General features: G+C 38.2%; 1 protein-coding gene across 4 annotated transcripts in view; it reads left to right on the forward strand.

The window, feature by feature from the left end:
- The window catches only part of TPTE (transmembrane phosphatase with tensin homology), an 84,134-nt gene that overhangs the window by 56,137 nt on the left and 5,542 nt on the right, over positions 1 to 22,455 (forward strand). For all 4 annotated transcript variants that reach the window (NM_199261.4, NM_199259.4, NM_199260.4 and 1 more), the window contains 6 exons: positions 618 to 699; positions 798 to 886; positions 12,743 to 12,804; positions 14,574 to 14,654; positions 18,263 to 18,368; positions 20,296 to 20,375. In NM_199261.4, the coding sequence (NP_954870.3) occupies positions 618 to 699; positions 798 to 886; positions 12,743 to 12,804; positions 14,574 to 14,654; positions 18,263 to 18,368; positions 20,296 to 20,375 (500 nt within the window). The remainder of the gene's footprint in view (positions 1 to 617; positions 700 to 797; positions 887 to 12,742; positions 12,805 to 14,573; positions 14,655 to 18,262; positions 18,369 to 20,295; positions 20,376 to 22,455) is intronic.

Raw genomic sequence — 22,455 nt, forward strand, 5'->3', positions numbered from 1 at the left:
GTGGCTTTGGCAGGACCAATGAAGCTGGAGTGGAAGAAAACCATTTTAGGGAAGATCTGTTCTAGCGATATTAGGTTTAGGAAAATCTTTCTGTTTTTCTTGCCAGATTGTGTTATGAGGACATAGACAATTTAACAAATGAGTCTTCTGACCCATCAGCAGTGGCATGTGATGAGAGCAAGGCTCTAGATGGGAAAAAAGCAAAAAACTGTAGAAAATAGGTTGTAACCCAGTTTAATACCCTGTCTCTCTTGATTTTTTCCTCTACCTGTATACTCAATAGACATTTTCAGGGGGCAAACATTTTGGTCAGCTACATTTGCCTTGTGTGGTTTCTAACTACCCTGAAATAATATAATGAATAGTCTGCTAGAAAGTTAAAAATTATACCTATTAAACAAAAATAAGTTGAGTTTAGGTTATATGAGATGGATAAACCACTACCATCCTTATATTTTTGAAACGCTTGCGTTTATTTTAGAGTGGCAGGAGCAACTTGGAAAGCTCTTTTTGAAGATAGATAAGGAATTCTAATAAGATATGTTAACTTATTCATAACTTCCTCATTTATCATGTTATTCCCTATAGAGATATGACATACATATTATTTATTTTAGGTGAAAGAGCTTACGATCCTAAGCACTTCCATAATAGGGTCGTTAGAATCATGATTGATGATCATAATGTCCCCACTCTACAGTAAGTTTTATGCTAAATTGACTATCAGAAGAGGGCTAAATATATTGGGCTTGATTTTTTGAAAATATTTTAACTAAAAATCTTAAACTTGAAATCAGTCAGATGGTGGTTTTCACCAAGGAAGTAAATGAGTGGATGGCTCAAGATCTTGAAAACATCGTAGCGATTCACTGTAAAGGAGGCACAGGTAATAACATTTTCCTTTTTATTTCTCCATTTCTAAAGACATGTAAATATACATAAAGTACAAGAACAAGATACGTATTGCTATTAATATGTATTAATAATTGTTAGCATTTTTAAATATTAGCTCCAAGACTGAAAGAAGGGAAGGAGAAAGGAAAGAGGAGAGGAGGAAGGGTAGGAGATAGGGAGAGGATAAGGAAGGGAAGAAAGTAAGAAAAAAGAACTAAGGAAGGTTGAGCATATTTTCCCTTGTTTTCCTAGTATTTGGATTTCTTTATTTTTGGTTTGCTAGTTTATATCTCTCAAAATACAAACAGTCTTTAATTTTAGAATATCAGAGTACTGTTATTTAAGGCTGATCTTTTTTATTTTTAAATTAACAAATAAAAAACCAATATATTTATGGTGTACAACATGATGTTTTGATATAGGTAAACATTGTGAAATGGCTAAATCAAGCTAATTAGCATATGCATTACTCCACATATTTTTGTGTGAGAACATTTAAAATCTACTGTCTCAGCAATTTTCAAGTATACATTATTATTAACTGTGGTCACTATGTTGTACAATAAATTTCCTGAACTTATTCTTCCTGTCTAACTGAAATTTTGCATCCTTTAATTAACATCTCAGGCTGGGCACAGTGGCTCACACCTGTAATCCCAGCACTTTGGGAGGTTGAGGCAGGTGGATCACATGGTGAAGCCCCATCTCTACTAAAAATTACAAAACATTAGCCAGGTGTGGTGGCATGCACCTGTAATCCCAGCTACTCGGAAGGCTGAGGCAGAAGAATCGCTTGAACCTGGGAGGCAGAGGTTGCGGTGAGCTGAGATCGCACCATTGCACTCCAGCCCAAGCAACAAGAACAAAACTCCATCTAAAAAAATAACAATAATCATAAAGTAAAAACCAACATCTTCACAATCCCCCAAGTTTTGTCTCCCCAGCCCCTGGTAACCACCATTCTACTCTCTGCTTCTATGAATTTGACTTTTTTAGATTCCACAAATAAGCAAGACATGCAGTATTTGTCTTTCTACGCCTGGCTTATTTCACTTAACATAATGTTCTCCAGGTTCGTCCATATTATCTCGAGTGACAGGATCTCCTCTAAGGCTGAATAGTATGCCTTTAATTATATATACCATATATTATTTATCCATTCATCCACTGATGACATTTAGATTGACTCCATAGCTTGGGTATTATGAATAATGCTGCAGTGAACATGGGAGTGCAGATTTCATTTCCTTTGGATATATACCCAGAAGTGGAATCTCCAAATCATATGGTAGTTCTATTTTTGGTTTTTTGAGAAATCTCAGTGCTGTTTTCCACAATAACTACTAATTTACATTCACACCAACAGCGTACAAGGGGGTTCCCTTTTCTCTTCATCCTCACCAACTCTTCTTTTGTCTTTTTGTTAATGACCATCCTAACAGGTGTGAGGATATCTCTTTGTGGTTTTAATTTGCTTTTCCCTGATGATTAATGATGTTTAGCATTTTCTCATTATACCTCTTGGCCATTTGTGTGTCTTCTGTTGAGAAATATCTTTTCAGGTTCTTTGCCCATTTTCTAGAGAAGTAACTTGTTCTCTTGCTATTGTGTTGTCTGAATTCCTTTTTTAAAAAATCTGTTAACCTATTATCGAATGTATGCTTTGTAGATATTTCTCCCATTCTGTAGGTTGTCTCTTTACTCTATAAATATCTCCTTTGCTGTGCAAAAGCGTTTTAGTTTGATACAGTATCATTTGTCTACTTTTTCTTTCGTTGCCTATGCTTTTCAGTCATATCCAAAAATATCTTGGCCCAGACCAATGTCAAGAAGATTTTCACCTATCTTTTCTTCTAGTAGTTTTCCAATTTCATGTTTCACAGTTAAGCATTTACTTTGAGTTGATTTTTGTATATTGGGTGAGATAGGTTGCAATTTCATTTTTCTGCAAGTGGATATTCAGTTTCCCCAGTATCGTTTATTGAAGAGACTGTCCTTTCCTCATCTTGGATTCTTGGCACCTTTGTTGAATATCAGCTGAGTATAAATGCATGGATTTTTTCTGGGCTTTGTATTCTGTTCCATTGGTCTATATGTCTGTTTTTGTTCCAGTAATATTTAAGGTTGTTCTTAAACTTTGTGAGAACCTTTTAGATTAAGGGAGCCAACAGAGATGCTATATCAAAAATTATACTGGAATTTTTATAGTGTAATGATACGAAGAAGTTGACATTGGTGGGGTGAAAATGGGGGAAAAAAGCCATTTGTAAATCCAACCAATTTAAGTTTAGTTAGATTTTCTCTCATTCAGGTTTGGGCTTTAAATAATCATCTAAGCATATTTCACAAATTTTGACAAACATAAATAATTACATTTTTAGTGGGCTCTAAATCAATTTTTATATCAAATTCCAGGAAAACATAGCACCATCAACTGACTTATATAATTCAGTAAAATCAAGTTTTTGTCTTATTGACTAGTTTCAAGCCCATTAGTTAAAATACAGGTTCTGTGTTTAGCTGTATATTAGTTAATATACAGGTTCTGTGTTTAGCTCTACAGGTTGGAATATTGTATATATACTGGAAATTTACAGTACCATACTTAAGAATATAGAGGTTGAATCATTTGAAATTGCCAGTTTTTAACCATCTTTTGCTTTAAAAATGGCCATTTCACATTGTCCAACCTAAAATGTTATTATTAAAGAAGTTAGCATCAGTTTTCTATTAACTAATGCTAATTCCTTGCTTGAAGGAAAACAATCATTTCAAATCTGACTTTTTTTCTTTTGTGCTGAGAGAGGGTTTACATTATTCTGTGTTCACATAATATTTTGTTGATTTTGTTAAAGGTTGTTTAGAGGGCTAATATTCAGCTGGTATGTACGAGAGCAGCCTCTTTTTTATGTGTTCATTCATATTAGTCTTGCTGTCTTCTGGTTGGTTGCTGCTTGCAGGTTACCAGTAGTATCGTGATAGTAAAAATATTTTATATTGATTTATAGAAGTTCTTTAAAGAATCTGGATGCCAATTTTTCTTAGTATTGTAATTATATTCTCCCCACATGTTGCCTTTTAAATTTGATCGTGATTTATTTTGTTGTACAAAAGTTTGTAAATTTTTGTTTTGTTTTGAGACATGATCTCGCTGTGTCACTCAGGCTGGAGTGCAGTGGCACAATCTCGGCTCATTGCAGCCTGAACCTCCCGGGGTTCAAGCGATCCTCCCATCTCAGCCCCTCTGAGTAAGTGGGACTACAGGTGAGCGTCACCATGCCTGGCTAATTTTTGTATTTTTTATAGAGACAGGGTCTCACTGTGTTGTCCAAACTGGTCTCGAACCCCTGGACTCAAGTGATCCACCCACCTCAGCTTCCCAAAGTGCTGGGATTACAGGCATGAGCCATCATGCCTGGAGAGAAGTTTGTAATTTTGAATATAGTGAAATTTGTTTTTCTATGTGTGTGTATATATTTCACGCTTTTCTGTCATGTTTATGAAATTCACCCCCCTATACTGATGTAGTAAAGATATTCCACATTTCTTCAAAAATATTCAAGTTCCATTTTCAATATTTGGGTCTTTAATCTAATTGGAAGTTGGGGGAAGTGTTTTTTTCATATAGATAGCCAATTGTCCTAACACCATCAATTGCGTGCTGTTTTGTTCTCCATTAATTTGTAATCCCTCTCAGTAATATACCAAGTTTCTATAAATTTTCAAAACTGTTCCTAAGTTCTCTCTACCACACTTTTGTAATTATTGTAGCTTTATAATGTGGTTTGATAAAGGCATAATTGTCTTGCTCTTCTTGGAACTTTATTATTACATTCAATTTTAAAATCATTTTGTGAAGTGCCATAATAAAACACTTTTAGGATTTTTATTGGAACTACATTGAATTTATAGATTAACTTGAGAGAAGTGACAACTTTGCGATATTGAGTTGTACATGTGACTCATCTTGTTCATTCTTTAATAATATTTTATACTTTTTTATCATGTCTTTGCACATCTTTTCAAATATTCATTCCTGCACAAATTGTGACTGAAAATGGAATCTCTTTTTTTCTATTACATTTGGGTTGTTTCCAATTTTTATTGTGATGAATTATGTTTTTTGTTTTTTTGTTTTGAGATTAGGTCTCACTCTGTCACCCAGGCTGGAGTGCAGTGACATGATCTCAGTTCATTGCAACCTCCGCCTCCTGGGTTCAAGCAATTCTCATGCCTGTGCCTCCAGAGTAGCTGGGATTACAGGCATCCACCACCACACCCAGCTAATTTTGTATTTTTAGTAGAGATGGGGTTTTGCCATGTTGTCCAGGCTGGTCTCAAATTCCTGACCTCAAGTGATGTGCCTGCCTCTGCCTCCCAAATTGCTGGGATTACAGGCATGAGCCACCGTGCCTAGCCCAATAATACTGCTTTTAAAAATACACGTTTCTTGTTGCACATGTGGCCACATTTTTGTTGAATGTATACCTCAGAATAAAATTGTTCTGTCTTAGGGTAATGAATCTTGAACTTTACTTGATAATGTCACCTGTTTTCTAAAACAGTTGTAACAATTTTTACTCCACTGGTATTGTAGACTTCAAGCATTCCATATCTTCCCCAATACTTGCAATTCTGAGTATTTTTATCTTTAGCCTTTGGGTGTTTGTGTGATGGCATCTTATGGTGGTGATCATTTGCATTTCTGTAATTAATAAGATTGAGGAAGTTTTTTTTAAGATTATTAAGTATGTGGATATCCTTTTTTGTAAAGTAACTTTTTAATTTTCTTAACCATTTTTCTCCTGGATTATTCATCTTTTTTTCTCCCGATTGTAGTTCTTTGTGTATTCTGATTTCAATTCTGTTATTGGTCATAAATGTATTTCAAGAAAGCTTTTCTGCTCTGTGATTTGCCTTTTCTGTCTCTCAGGAGTAGCTTTTGGTTAACAGAAGTTCTTAGTTGTATTACCGTCATATGTATCATGCTTTCCCTTTATAAAGTTTGTGTTTTTGTGTCCTGATTAAGAAAATTTTCCTTGAGTTTAAAGGACATTTTACTACTGTATTTTCTTCGAGAAGGTTCATTCCTTTTAAAATTGATCTATGTGTGTGGTGTGAGGAAGGCGTCAGGTTTCATCTTTTTTCATGTATGGCTATCCAGTTATTCCAGCACACTGGTTCAGAAGATTTTCATTTCTTTACTACCCTGAGGAACATGAATCTGTTTCTGACATTTCTCTTCTGTTCATTGATTTTTCATCTGTGTGCCAATAGCACAACTATCTTACTGTAGCTTTCTAATATGTCCTCATCATCTTCTTCTTTTTCTTCACAATTGTTTGGGTATTTTAGGTCATCTATATTTCCATATAAATTTGGGAATCAACTAGTCAAATTACAAACACTGGGTAGAAATTTGTTTGGAATTGCATTGAATTTATAGACTGGGGAGAATTGAATCTTTACAATATTGACTCATCCAACCCATGAACAGAGGTATTCTCTCATTTAGTTAGGTCCTCTTCAATTTCTCTTTATAATGCTTTCTCATTTTCTGTATAGAAAGCGTGCATATTTTTGGTGAGATTTATTCTTAGATTTTTTTTGTGGTTATTTAAATGATATCCCTTTAAAATGTTTATTTTCTAAATGTTTTTTGTTGTTTTAAATGCAGTTCATTTTATTTATTAATCTTGCAGTTAGCAACTTTCCTAAACTCACTTTTTTTTTTTTTTTTTTTGAGGCAGTCTCATTCTGTCACCCAGGCTGGAATGCAGTGGCATGATCATGGCTCACTACAGCCTCAACCTCCCTGGGCTCAGGTGATCCTCCTATATCAGCCTCTTGAGTAGCTAGCACTGCAGGCAGGTGCCACCATGCCTAGCTAATTTTTTCATTTTTTTGTAGAGATGGGGTTTCGCTATGTTGCCCAGGTTGGTCTCAAACTTCTGTGCTCAAGTGATCCGCCAGCCTCAGCCTCCACCTCCCAAAGTGCTAGGACTGCAGGTCTGAGCCACCGTGCCCAGCCTAAACTCACTTATTAGTTCTACTAATTTATCTATAGATTCTTTTGGATTTTATGGTACACGATTACATCATATGAAAATAATAAATTATATTTTTTCCATTTCAGTCATTCATCTCCCCTAGCACTGGCTAGAACATTCAGTACAGTGTAGAATTAGAAGTGGCCATAGCAGCCATCAACATACAGTTCCATTATCAAAGGAAAAGCTTTCAACATCTCTCCAAATGCTTTACGAGTGTGTGTGTGTGTGTGTGTGTGTGTGTGTGTGTGTATTAGTGACCATTTATCGATTAAGAAATTCCTTGGCTGGGCGCCTTGGCTTACACCTGTAATCCCAGCACTTTGGGAGGCCCAGTGGGGGCAGATCACTTGAGGCCAGGAGTTTAAGACCAGCCTAGGCAACATGGTGAAACCCTGTCTCTACTAAAAAATACAAAAATTTGCGAGGTGCGGTGGCACATGCCTGTAATGCCAGCTACTCCGGCTGAGGCACGAGAATCACTTGAAACCAGGAGGCAGAGGTTCCAGTGAGCCAAGATCGCACCACTGCTCTCCAACCTGGATGACAGAGTAAGACTCTGTCTCAAAAAATGAAACAAAAAAAAAAAAAAAGAAAGAAAGAAAAAAGAAATTCGTTTAGCTTGCTAAGAGTTTTTTTTTTTAAATCATGAATGGATGTTGAATTCTTAAAGATTTTTCTGAATCTTTGAGATGATAATTTTTCTACTTTATCCTATAAATAAATGTGGTTAATTGCATTGATTAAGTGGTAAACCAACATGTTTCTGGAATAAATGTAATTTAGTTGTGCTGTATTATTTTGTTAAATACTTATTAAATTATTTTATTATTAAATTGCCGGATTCTGTCCGTTAATATTTTGTTTAGGATTTTCAAATTCATGTCTTCTGGGCAATTGGTTATAATTTTCCTTTCTCATAGTTTTTTCAAATCTTGGCTTCGTAAAATGAGTTAAATTTCATTTTCTCTGTTTTTATTCTCTGGGTAAATTTATGCATGCTGATTTTTTTCCTTCTTAAGTGTAAAGTGAAATTCACCAGTGAACGCACATTGGCCTAGAGTTTTCTCTGGAGAGAAGTCTTTAAATTATGGCTCAATTCCCTATATAGAATGTTTTTATAATTTTATTTCTTTTGCCCATTTTGGTAGATTATAGTTTTCCCAGCATTTGTCCATTTAATCTAACTTTGCAAATTGTCTTGACATCAAATTGTTCACAATATCATTTTACCATTTTAGTGTCTGCAGAGATGTTCCCTTTTTTATTCCTGACATTGCTTTCTTGGTGCCTTCTCCCCTTTTTTCTTCTGAGTAGTCTTACCACGGATTTATCAATTTTACTAGTCTTTTAAAAGAACCAAGTTTTTGGCCTATTTGTGGTCTCTATTTTTTACTTATTTTTTATTTCATCAATTACTATTATATTTAGTACTTTCTTCTGTACTCCTTGGGTTAATTTGTTCTTTTCCTGACTTCTTGACATGGATAATTCTTAGAGTGTCAACCACTATCTTTTCTATTTACCATTTAAGGCTACAAGTTTTCCTCTAAGAATTGCTTTAGTTTCGTCCCATAAATTTTTATTTTTAGTGTTTTTATTTTACTCAGTTCAAACTATGTTCCAACTTTGTGCTTGTTTTTTTTTTTGACCCATGAGTTATGTAGAAATATACTTCCTTATTTCCAAACATATGAGAATTTTGTATTTATCTTTAAATTTTTGATTTCTGATTATATTGTGTGGTGGACACAGAACATACTATGTATTTTTTTCTTTTTTAGTTCTTTGAAATTTGTTTAGACTTGCTTAATGGCCCAGAATTTGGTCGATATTGTCAAATGTTTTCTGTACATTTGAAAAGAACATGTATTATGCATTGTTGAGAACAGTGTTCTATGTACATCTATTTAACTCTTCTGTTTTCCTACTGACATTCTGTTTTCATTTGATTGAATTTTAATAATATAATTCTTTCCTTCTCACCGTCTGTCATTACCTTGGAAGTCATATACTGTTTTTCTATGTTTTTAGTAATTACTGTAAAGATTTCAACCTGCATCCTTGATTTAGCTATTAATTTTTGTTTATGTTGAGCCTGCATCTAGAAATCTTCCTAAAATCTCTCATTAGATTAAGGAGTTATTCTAAAGATTTACTTACTACACTGACTTTCTACACTGGTTAGGCTCTGTAGTATACTGTTAAATGGAAGCAGTGAAGAGAGGGCATTTTTGTTTAATTCCAGGCTTTAAAGAAAATGCTTTCAATATTATATCATTAATATGATGTTCCTGGTAGGTATTTTGGTAGATTCTCTTTGTTGAGTTAAGGAAGTTTCCTAGTTGTTAATTTTTAAAGTCACAGGTGCAGGCTGAATTTTAGTGAATGCTTTTTCCTGCATTAATTGAGATAATTGTAAGGTGTGTCTTCTTTAATCAATGAATATGATAAATTGCATTAATATAGATTTCTGATGTAGGATGATTCTTGCATTTGTTATTATTTGTTTTTTAATAGGCAAAAGACTTTCTTTTTCTTTTTGAGCTTAGATTTTTGGTATAAATTAGCTTTTAGATTTGGAAGTGCATATACAGGTTTATTGGTAATATTGTGTGATGCTGAGGTTTGGGGTATGATTGATCGCATCACCCAGGTACTGAGCACAAGACCCAATAGTTAGTTTTTCAACCTGTGTCCTTTTCTGCTGTGCCCCTTCTAGAACTCCCCAGGGTCCATTATTGCCACCTTGATGTCCATGAGCACCCATTGTTTAGCTTTCACTTATGAGTGAGAACATATGGTATTTGGTTTTTTGTTCCTGCATTAATTTGCTCAGGATAATGACTTCCAGCTGCATCCATGATGCTGCAAAGGAAATGATTTCTTTTTTTTTTTTTTTTGAGAGGGAGTTTCGCTCTTGTTGCCCATGCTGGAGTGCAATGGCGCAGTCTTGGCTCACTGCAACCTCCACCTCCCAGGTTCAAGTGATTCTCCTGGCTCAGCCTCCCAAGTAGCTGGGATTACAAGCGCCTGCCACCACACCCAGCTAATTTTTGTATTTTTAGTAGAGATAGGGTTTCACCAAGTTGGCCAGGCTGCTCTCGAACTCCTGACCTCAGGTGATCCACCCACCTCAGCCTCCCAAAGTGCTGGGATTATAGGCATGAGCCACCGCGCCCAGCCTATTTTTTGTTTGTTTTTGAGATGGAGTCTTGCTCTGTCACCCAGGCTGGAATGCAGTGGTGCAATCTCGGTCACTGCAACCTCCGCCTCCTGGGTTCAAGCGATTCTCCTGCCTCAGCCTTCTGAGTCACTGGGATTACAGGTGTGCACCACCATGCCCGGCTAATTTTTGTATTTTTAGTAAAGACAGAGTTTCACTATGTTGGCCAGGCTGGTCTTGAACTCCTGACCTCAAGTGATCTGCCTGCCTTGGCCTCCCAAAGTGCTGGGATTACAGATGTGAGCCACTGCACCTGGCCCATGGCTCTATTTTGAAGTATGTTCTTTTGATTCCTAGTTTCTTGAGTGTTTTTTTTTTTTTATCAAGAAAGATGTTGAATTTTATCAAAAGCTTTTTTTTCTGCATCTATTGAGATGATCATGTGGTTTCTGTTTAATTCTGCACCACATTTGGTTTGCATATGCTGAACCTTGTATCCTTGGAATGAAGCTTACTTGATCATGAACTTTTTGATGTGCTGTTGGATTTGGCTGTTATCCTGATGGGGCTACCTTTGTGTGTGATCTGGCCTTTTTCTCCAGTGCCTTTAGGGCTTTTTCTTTGACAGTGACCTTGGATAGTCTGGTGAGTATATGCCTTGGTAATGTTCATTTTTTATAGTATCTCACAGGTGCCGTCTGGCTTTATTGTACTTAGATGTCTATCTAGCAAGATTCAAGAAATTTTCTCGAATTATTCCATCAAATATGTTTTCCAGGCTGTTTTCTTTTTCTCTTTCTCTCTAGGGCATGCCAGTAATTCATAGGTTTGGTCACTTTACATAATCTCATATTTCTGACTTTCTTCACTTTTAAAAAATATTTTTTTCTTTATTTTTGTCTGACTGGATTAGTTCAAAAGACCAGTCTTCAAGCTCTGAAATTATGTTTTCTACTTTGTCCAGTCTGTTGATAAAGCTTTCAGTTGTATTTTGAAATTCCTTAGTGAGTTTTTTTTATTCTAGAAGTTCTGATTGATTTCTTATTAAGATGTTTATCTCTTCCTTCATTTCCCGGATTGATGTAGAAGTTTCTTTTTGTTGATTTCAACCTTGAATCTCATTGAGCTTCCTTGCAACCCAAGCTTTGAATTGTTTATTGTCATCTCTGAGTTTTCATTTTGGTAGGAAGCATTGCCAGAGAGCTATTGTGATCCTTTGGCAGTGTCACTACATTCAGATTTCTCATGGTTCCAGAATTCTTGCGTGGGTCCTTCTCATCTGCACTTCTAATTTGTGTAATTATTTTTGTTTGGGTAGGATTTTTCTTTTTCTTTCCTTTCCTATAATATTATTGTTATTTTTTTCTTCTTTCCCTTTCCCTTCTCCCTAGAGGGTGTGACTGTAGAGCATGCTGGGTAGGGTCTTTTGGCTTTGCTTCTGCAGCCCTATGCACTTCTGCCAGCAGGTTTTATATTGGGTGTGTGGTTTGACCTATGAGCCAGTAGATGGCGCCATGGGTAAGAGCTGGCTGTTGCCAGTGCTGCTGGCTGTGTACTTCATCCTTGTTTATTGGGAGGAGCTCTCTGTTGCCCCAGGCAATGGGCTGAAATCCTGAGTACACATTAATCTGAGCTCCCTCAGCCCTAGGGGTAGGGGGATTGGGGGCACAAGATGGGTGCAGCCAGATAGGGAAGATTCCCCCAGTGTTGTCCTGCTCCCAGTCCAGGTTTGGGAAAATGCCGGCAGCGTTTCCCTGTGTCTTTCCCCCACAAAGTCTCCAAGTCTCTTCTCAAATGAGCTCCAAGGCTTGGGAGAAACAATCTCTTCCTCTGCCCGGGTTGCATGGATGTCCAGTGGAAAGGTGAGACAGAGGGATGCTGTCTGCCTGTCTCACATACTGAGGCTTCACTCACTTTTATCAGTCGAATGCTGTCCTGAGGGCTGCTTGCCTGCATTGTCCTCCCCAGGATCTGGGATGTCCTTCAAAATTCCGGGGAATTGCCATTTTCTTTCTTGAATTAAAGCTCACAGAGTTGGTCTTTATGTACTTGCTTGCTATTTCCAAATGACTGAGGCAGGCATGCTAAAAGCCTGTAATCTGCCATCTTGGAAAAAACATCCTTGCATCCTTAAGAGAAATGGCACTTGGTGTTGATACATGGTGTTTCTACATTGCTGAATTCACTTTGAAAATATATGTATATTTTTAAATCTACATTTATATGTGAGACTGGTGTAAAAATATCTTCTACTGCATTTGTGCAATTTTGGAATCAGTTATATTAACGTACTAAATGAGTTGGGAATTTTTCTTTTTTACTATTATCCAAAAAAATCATAAAATACATGAATTGTTGCTTTCTTATAGATTTTAGTAAAAACCTCATCGTGTCCTTTTGTGGAGAGATGGTGAGAGATATTTTTACTGTAAATGTAATTTGCCTATTTTTCACCTGTGAGATGGAGGTCGCAATGAGCCAAGATTGTGCCACTGCACTCCAGCCTGCGTGACACAGCAAGACCCTGTCTCAAAAAAAAGAAAGAAAATCAAGTTAAAATGCACTCCTTGAATATTTCTGAGTGTATTTTTATACCACGTATGTTCTTGAACTAACTTCTTTTCTTTTCTAGATAGAACAGGAACTATGGTTTGTGCCTTCCTTATTGCCTCTGAAATATGTTCAACTGCAAAGGTATGAAAGATGTTCTACAAACTTTGTCTTAGGATGATTGAGTTTGCTAGTTCTGAAACATCACTGGCAGGACATTAAGATGATTATTTTAGTCATGGTGCTTAGTAAAATTGTAATTAGAGAAGCAGTCTTTAGAAAGTCTGTTTTTGATACTTTCTTGTTTAATGTGCACTAGTTAGTAGCTGACTTCAGAATCTCTTTGGGCCAGGACTAGAGTGAGGTCAATGAGGTGCAAAATTTAAGGGAATGCTAAAAATTGTAATAATTAAAATAAATAATTTTAACGCAATATTTTAATAAAAATTAATGCAAAAAATCGATGATGTATACAATATCAACATGTTAAATAAAGACAAGACCTGATGGGGCAGGATTAAGGTGAGGGGAGTAAAGCCATGTTACACAGAAAAAAACATTCAGTAATCAAGATGCTTCCCTCACTTCACCTGGCCCTGCTCTTCCTCCTGCCAGTACCATGACTTCTTCCTTCCTCGTGAGAATAGTATCAAGCTTAATTAGATAAATTCTCCAAAGAGCCTTGCCCATCCTCACAACTCTTAGGTAGATAAAAAGCAACATTTCACAACTCAAAACAAAGCCTCTCCTGAATGTAAATATCTTTGCTTAGTCAATACATGTGGAGTCTGTGACCTCTAAAAATTTCTGATAAGACAAGGTGGGCTGTTTCCACTTAAAGCAGAGTTCTCAGTCATTTTTCTTTCTGCCGTTTTCTTGCTGAGATGCTACCATTTCCAGCAGCTCTGCTCGAGTTGTTTGGCCTCAGTCTAGGGAAGAGGTGGTGGTTGTGCACAATGCCCAGACTCCAATTCCACCACCTTTGGTTTCTCTAATTTGAGATACACAGATTTTGAAAATGGGTGTTCTAGGATGGTGTTTTTCAAGCTATGGATCATGATTTATCAGTGAGTTTTAAAATAAAGTTACTGGATTGTAACTGACATCGTTTGAAAATAAAATGAATAGAGCAGAATAGAAAATATCCAAAGGTTTAAATATTGGTGTGTGTGTGTGTCTCCTAGGTTTATTAATGTGGATTGCAACTTAAAAAACAAAAGGTTTGAAAGTCATTGACAGCCATTGATCCAGAGCCCTAGACTGAGACCCAGGGACATGTATGCGAGGCCTGTGCTTCTTCTAACTGGCTGCAGCATCTCCTTGGCAGGTTGCTTGGTTTTGTTTTGGTCTCAGTGTTGTCATTTGTAATATGGAAAGAAGGGTTGGACCAGATGCTTTCTAAGGTGTTTCTAGCTCTAAAATTTTATGAATGTATGAATCCTTGAATGAGAGAAGTCCTAATTTTGTTATTTTCGGTAGCCTCTGCCCAAAGATCACTGCGGCCGGGCACGGGTGGCTCACGCCTGTAATCCCAGCACTTTGGGAGGCTGAGGCAGGCGGATCTCTTGAGGTCAAGAGTTTGAGAGCAGCCTGGCCAACATGGTGAAACCCCTATAGCTACTAAAAATACAAAAAATTAGCTGGGCATGGTGGTACACACCTGTAGTCCCAGCTACTCAGAAGGCTGAGGCAGTAGAATCACTTGAACCCAGGAGGCAGAGGTGGCAGTGAGCTTAGATCCTGCCACTGTACTCCAGTCTGGGTTACAGAGCAAGACTCTACCAAAAAAACAAACAAACAAACAAAATCACTGACTTTAGGAAAGAAGGTGGGCGTAGAAACACTAAGGGTACCTAATATAGGAAAGGAAAGAGTGCAGATGAACCATGGTTGGATTGTACCCTTTTTTGTAGGAAAGCCTGTATTATTTTGGAGAAAGGCGAACAGATAAAACCCACAGCGAAAAATTTCAGGGAGTAAAAACTCCTTCTCAGGTAAGTTTTCTTTTTAAAAATGGGAGTTTTTTTAGGGGTGTGGGTTCAGATTGCCACCTGTTATTTGGTTTCATTTTAGACTCCTCTCCTTTGGTGATCAGGCAGCAGCAGTTGGGTGCCCTGCAACAGGCCTTAGTCCCTCCCTGAGTCTGAGGGTCACGCTTCAGGTGCTGCCCACATGCTGGGGACTCTGGTTTCTCTTCAGAGAATCCTGCTTTCTATTCTATACTGGTTATTGTTTACAGAGCTCAGGAGTTGATTATTTTCCCAAAGTAGGAAGGTCCAGTACCCAAGGCTCCAGGACTCTGAAGTGTGTCTAAAATCACCAGCCTTTGATTTCAATGTAAAAAAGATCCAAGTCTTTCACAAACCCTTACTAGGACAATTCAACCCTTGCAGAACATCACAAAGACTGTTTTTGGATGACTCCTGGTGTGTGTGTGTGTGTGTGTGTGTGTGTCTTTTCTGTGTGTTGTGGGGGAGGTGTATTTTAAAAGAGAAAATAAAAGGGAAAATAAACTTTTCAAAACCCCTTCTGTATCCCAGACAGTATTGCACTTTTACATATCTCATTTAATACCCATAACACCTGTATGAAATATACACTGTTACTCTGTTTTTTCTTTTAGAAACATTTTGTTATGGAAAATTTTAATCATATACAAAAGTCCAGAGAATCATACACTATATCCTCATGTAGTCATCACATTGCTGCAACAGTATTTCAGCTGGCGCCAGTCACATTTCATCCATTCTTTCCCACTCCACTCACACCCCCCAACCCCACTCTCCACTCTTGTTTTCCCTAAATCTGAGTTATTGTAAAGGAAATTTCAGTCGTCAGATCATTTTATCACACAGCATTTTAGTATGACATTTAAGTACTCTTAAAACAACAAGAAAAAACCTTAACACTTTTTATCATATCTAACAATATTATACCTTAAAAATCCTTTATATCAAATTTGTAGTCCATGTTTGTTTCCAAAATTGTCTTAAAATCTTTGAAAATTTAGTTTGTTTAATCAGAATTCAAACAAAGTCCACACATTTCATTTGGTTGCTGTGTCTCCTAAGTCTCTTTTAAGAATCTAAGTTCATAGATTTCTCACCATTTTTTATTACTTGTAATTTGTTTATTGCAGAAACCAGGATGTTTATCCTATAGCATTTACAACATTCTAGACTTTGGTGAACTATTCTGAGGGTTCTCTATTCACTATCTCATTTAATATTCTCAGTAACTCTGTGAGTAGGCACTACTATGATTCTCATAAATTAGAAAATTGAGGTTTAGAGAAAGTAACCTTTGAACCAAGGACTGAAATCTAGATGTCAGTCTCTGAAGCCCTTGCTGTGCACAGCTTGTCATTTATATTGCCTTTTCTATATTGCCCCTGAAACCGAAGTGAGAGCGGGTTGGGAATTTCTAAATGGATTTGGATGTGGCTGTAAATGAGTTTTTCTTTAAGTGGTGGGAGCTGAGTAGAAGAACTCTCTAACTACTGGCCCTAAGCCTTTAGTTTGGGCCAGAAGAACTCAGCTTTATCCACTGCTACTTTTCTCCCACACCCAAGCCCCAAACAAAACAAAACAAAACAAAACAAAGATAGTCATAGACTCTAAGCTAAAAGTGATAGGTGAATTTACTGAAGTGCAGCCCTAATCATGCCATTTCCATGCTTAAAATCCATACTATGTCCCCACTGCCAATGGCAATAAACTAAACGTTTCAACCTGGCACTCAAGAGCCACTCTTTGACTTTTCCAACCTTCTCTTCCGCTGTGTGCATCACACATCCCATACTCCAACACATTTAGACTCTGTGCTCTTTCCCAGCCTATGGACACTTGATACCCTCATGCCATTGCTCATGCCCCTTTTCCTAGAGTCCCTTTCCCTTCTCAGCCTGAAGTAGTCTCTTGCTTTTTCAATTCTTAGAGCCCTTTGTGTTTCTTTTAGGGACTACGTCACTTTGCATCATTCTCTAGTTATTTGAAGTGGTGACTTCTGTATCCCCTTTAAAGGCAAAGCCCGTGGCTTACCCATCTTTCCACCCTTTTCTCATAATGTTTTCTTTGTTTGTAGTGAGTGCCTCCTATGTGTTGGTTGTATTAATTTCTACTACAAGTCCATGTTGTTTTAAGTTGTAGGAGAAGGAAGCGTGGGAGCACAAGCAGCTTGAGGGCCCTGGTGGTTTACAGCCCTTAGGGAAAGGTGGAGAATCTAGTGGCAGAAGCTAACGGGATGCTAGACGGAGCTCCTTCAACAACTCTCCCCACACATCTCCCCATCCCCATTTCTTCTGCAGTCGTGCATAGTTTCCCTAACTGTAGTCCAGAACTAGCACACCAAAGGCTGCAACTGAATCTCTTCTGATTCACCGAAAAAGCAACACAGGGACTCAGCTGCACGTTTGAGAGCTGTGTTGGCAAGACCTCAGGACAGAGTGCCCTCTGTGTCTGGTGGTGATTCTCAGACACCATCACATTCTGATCCTGCATTGTGGGCCATTCTACTGAGTGCATCTACTCCTAAGTTAAGGACTTTCATGAACCTGTCTCATGACTGGCCCTTTCTAAAGGGAAGTATGGCCGTTAGTTACTTTAATCAACATTTCCCAATGGGTAAGGAACAGTCTGTGAACTTATGAGTTTTGTTTTGTTTTGTTTTGTTTTTAATTTTTGAGACAGAGTCTCGCTCTGTCGCCCAGACTAGAGTGCAGTGGTGCAATCTCAGCTCACCACAACCTCGACCTCTTGGGTTCAAGTGATTCTCCTGCCTCAGCCTCCCAAGTGGCTGGGATTATAGGTGCCCATCACCACGCATGGCCTATTTTTGTACTTTTAGTAGAGACAGGGTTTCACCCTGTTGGCGAGGCTGGTCTCAAACTCCTGACACCAGGTGATCTGCCCGCCTCGGCCTCCCGAAGTGCTGGGATTACAGGCGGGAGCCACCATGATGGCCAACTTTTGAATTCTGAACCAGTTGTTTGAGTACCAGAGCTCTTCAATACCTTGAAGAAAGATTCAGGGGAGAGCTGTTGTGAACAGCTTGCCCCAGGGAAAGGACAAGGCTAAGACAATTTCAGGGCTTCCTTGGGAAAACAGAATTGAGGAAATGCAAAGTGAAGAAATTGTAGCTGTCAGGAACAAGAGAAGAGGGATGGGAAACCTGCTACTGAGGTTTGGAGGTATTCCTCTGGAGTTTTCACTTATACCATTCTCTCATGCCCAGGAAGCTGCTCATCACCAAACCACAAGTCTTCCTCTAACTCAGTCACAACTAAGCTTCTATCCAGACACTGATGATACTGTAACTGTTTTGTTGTGCTTCTGATTAGTTGCCCTGTCAACCATAAGCAGCCTATAAACAGGGCCTGGCTCCATCCTTGTTACTTCCCCATTGCACTGAATTCAGTATTTTTCCCTCAAGGTAGATAGTTGTGGGGCAGCATCCCTAAAAATATCTAGTTATATTATGGCATCCAGTAAATGTTTCCTTAATTACTTACCTCCATTAACAAGCTTTATGCAAAAAAAAAAAAAGGAATGCCGACTTTAGACTTTTCATCTCCACTTAAAGGAAGATTTCTGTTGCTTTTCAGAAGAGATATGTTGCATATTTTGCACAAGTGAAACATCTCTACAACTGGAATCTCCCTCCAAGACGGATACTCTTTATAAAACACTTCATTATTTATTCGATTCCTCGTAAGTGCTTTATGTATAATTGAAGAATTGGGCAGGAGGGCCAATGTCCCCACTCTGGGAGGGTTTTGCTCATAGTTGTATATACAGATGATCCTAACTCATACTTGTCTTTTTACATATCCTCACACAGGAACTCCTCCTTATTTATGCCGCTCCTCCTGCAATTGCCCATTGATTGCCAGCCCTTAGATGTTCTTCACTTTTTCTTTTCCATCACCAATTTGGGGGACTTCATCCCTTTCCCATCTCTCCTGTTCTCATTGCTCCTCTGGTCTCAACCCAGGCGGACTTTTCCGGGCAGAGGGAGCCTCTGATGAGGGAGGAGGAGGACCCATGTGCCCTCAAGCCTGCTTATTTCTCAGAACCACCTCTAGTTCAGAGTTTGCCTTGGTGGAGGTGTCTCCGTATCGTATCATTTTCTCACCTTCTTTTAGAGGCATTTTTTTTCTCATCACCCTGGGCTCTCCCTTTCCCCTCTCTCCTCCATCTGTAACCCTCTCACTCCCAGCTTACACTCAGGGGAGGTGGGAAAGCAGGATGTGTCTGTGTGGAAGGGATGGGGCCTCACCACTCCCACTGCCGGAGATGTAGCAGGGAGGCGATGCTTCAGAACCCCTAAAGCAAACCTCTTCTAGCAGCCAGCTTGTGGACCTGAGATGGTGCCAGTGCTGGGTGCTATAGGTGCCATGGGGCCAGGATGCTGGTGTCCACACAGACAGCCTAGTATTTTTAGCCTTCTGAGTTTAGTTCTACATTTCACTGATTTCTGGTAGACATCAATAGAAAGAAGTTCTGCACTTGGAATGGGAAAGAGGGAACTGAGGCAAGAAACTGTGATTTCTAATGACAAATAAATATGGTGTTAGTGAAAACAAAATTAAATGAAAACAAACAGCATATGAGATGAACAAAGATAATACACTAGTTTATTAAAATATTTGTTTTAATTCTCTACCTTTAGTTTTGTGAACATTTAAATTAAAATCAATGTAGAGTTGAGAGGAAAGCAATAAAAAAATTAATTGGCTGAGAAACCAAGTCTTTGAGGAAATGCTAAGGGAAGTGGGTCATTTCAATTTGGAAAAAAAGGAACAAAAAAGCCTTTGTCTGTAAATATATACTGAACACCACTGGAATTTTTGGATATAACTATCGTATATTTTTATAGAGATTGCATCAGGAACTGGCCTTAAAGTAGGGCCAAAGTACTTAAACGACAGTATTTATTATTAAGAATCATTATGATTAGAAGTCTGAAGAAAGCAACATATTAGCAAGAAAGGTTGCAAAGGTTGCAAGTCACCTTTCCTGAATTTTCTTTTTTCTTTTTTTTTTTTTTTTTTTGGAGACAGAGTCTTGTTCTGTTGCCCAGGCTGGAGTGCAGTGGTGTGATCTCGGCTCACTGCAGCCTCTGCCTGCCGGGTTCAAGCAATTCTCCTGTCTCAGCCTCCTAAGTAGCTGGGATTACAGGCATGTGCCACCACGCCTGGCTAATTTTTGTATTTTTAGTAGAGATGGGGTTTCACCATCTAGGCCACGCTGGTTTAGAATTCCTGACCTCAAGTAATCGACCCACCTCGCCCTCCCAAAGTGCTAGGATTACAGGTATGAGCCACCATGCCTGGCCTAGCTTCCCTAAATATTTTTTCTGGAAAGATAAAAGTGATGGGATTCTAAGTCTTCGAAGCTGAACTATATGTATTTTTTTTCCTCTTCTCTCATCTTATAAAATCTGCTTTAGGAGACAGAACTGGGCTTGAAGGCTTGTCTTTCAAAGACAAAATCCATGCAAGACCAAATAAGTGACTATTGATACATTGTTAGCTTGGATAATTTTTTCTCATTTTAATCCATGATGTTAATTGGTGAGACATATTGATGTTCACGCTAGCCAACCTAACTTTTTAATTTCATTTTGTTGGAACAGGTTATGTACGTGATCTAAAAATCCAAATAGAAATGGAGAAAAAGGTTGTCTTTTCCACTATTTCATTAGGAAAATGTTCGGTAAGAGAAAACATGTGAATTGAAAAAATCTGATGTTTGTTTTAAGGCTGAATGTCAAACCAGCAATGTTCACCTCCCTAAACTATCACTCACCATAAAGAGATTCCATAACGCTTTCTGGTTACCATCCAACTTGGTGTCATTGGGTTTGGATGCAAACCAGAGATAAATTAACCTGTTTGTTCAAAACAGTTTTTTCAGGGTGCTTTCCAGAATTTATTTCTGGTCAGTGTTGCTTTCCCTTTCACACTTCCACAAACACTGAGCGTGTTCCCAGGAATGTATTAAGGATTTTAATTTACATTATCTGGTCATTTTTAACCATATTCTCTTCTTCTCCGTCATTTGATCTTTTGTTATATAGCACTGATTCTAAAAGTTTAGTGTGCATGAAAACTACTGAGGAGCTTGTAAAGATTTACATTCCTAGGTTGTACCCCCAAAGTATGATTCAGGAAATCTGGAATGGGGCCCAGGAATCTATAGACTTAGCAATGTCCCAAGTGATTCTAAGTCAGAGGTTCTGTGGGATGACCCTGTGAGAAACAATGCAAGAGTGAATGAACGGGGGAGGAACCTCTTTATCCAAAGCAAAAGGGACCTGGTAGTCAATGTTTTGCTTCAATGAAGAAATGCCTAAAACTATATACCTTTTCTGAAACAGAAAGCATCTTTCATGGTCTAATAACCATAAACTTTTAGAATTCCTACCCAGGCCTTTGTCTCAAATTCTCCTATTACTAACCCTATTCCCTGCCATGCCCTCCCTACTCTGCGCCCGGCTTTTTTGGCCTCTCCCGACTGAGGGCATTCACCCAGGCCTGACCCTTGGCTTTGTGTTCTTAGCAAATACTTTACTCTTAAAGGATGACCCGTTCCCCTTACTTCAACTATTATTTGTTCATTTACTCATAACAACTCATAACAGCCAATTATGAGCACCCGCTGAGTTGTAGATGCAGGAGCTACAACATGAACAGTTTCCACTCCAACTCAAATGCATTAGCCAGTCTGAATTATCAAGGAGCTTTCTCTCTGCTTCTGCAAATGGCACCAGCATTCTTCCACTCATGCCTTGGGCTTTGATTCTCTTTGCCTCGGCCCCCTAAATCCAGTTAGTCATCAATCTCTGTTGATTATGCCTTTGACAGTTTTCTATGTTCTCCTTCCTTTCTGTTCTCACTGCCACTAATTGTCCAGAATCTCCTTTGCTCATGCCTAGATTTCCGCAGTGGTCTCCTTACCCTTTCTTTCTCCTTCTATAATGCAATGTATAGAATCCTGAAATATGCATTCTGAAATATTGCTCTCGTTGTGAAAAATTGTAGGTAGAGCAGAAGACACACTGTGTGCCTGTAGTCAGAGCCAGTTAACACCTCTGGCTCAACATCCTTATCTGTAAAATAAATATCACATCTCAAGTGTAATGGGAATTAAATTAGATAATATATATAAAGTTTCTTTGTAAACTATAAATCACTAAATAAGTGTTATATGTGATAATTATCAGGCCTCTTTGTCACATAGGAAATGCTCAACCATATTTTTCAACAACGTCACTCTTATTTCCTTGGCTCTTGAGCTCTGAAGATATAATAGCCCTAACGTGTAATACCTGAGCTTTTTTCCATGAGTAGCTTGACCAGCAGACTTCATTCCAAATAAACTGGGTCATCCCTTTTGGCTCTTGGAACACAACTCTAATTTAGTTAGTTAGTTAGTTAGTTAGTTAGTTGGTTCTTTCTTTCCTTCCTTTCTTCCTTTCCTTTTTTTTTTTTCTTGAGCCAGGGTCTCATTCTGTCACCCAGGCTGTAGCACAGTGGCATGATCATGGCTCACTGCAGCCTCAACCTCCTGAGCTCAAGCAATCCCCCAATTTTTTTTATTTTTCATAGAGGCTGGGACTTGCTATGTTGCCCAGGCTGGTCTCAGACTCCTGGGCTCAAGCAGCCTGTCCACCTCAGCCTCACAAGATGCTGGGATTATAAACATGAGCCACGCTGCCCGACATTATTTGTTGTTGTTTTTCCAATTTTTTTCTTTTTCTTTTTTTTTTTTTTTTGAGACGGAGTTTTGCTCT

Source organism: Homo sapiens, chromosome 21, assembly GCF_000001405.40.
Source record: "Homo sapiens chromosome 21, GRCh38.p14 Primary Assembly".
In the NCBI taxonomy this organism is placed as follows: Eukaryota; Metazoa; Chordata; class Mammalia; order Primates; family Hominidae; genus Homo; species Homo sapiens.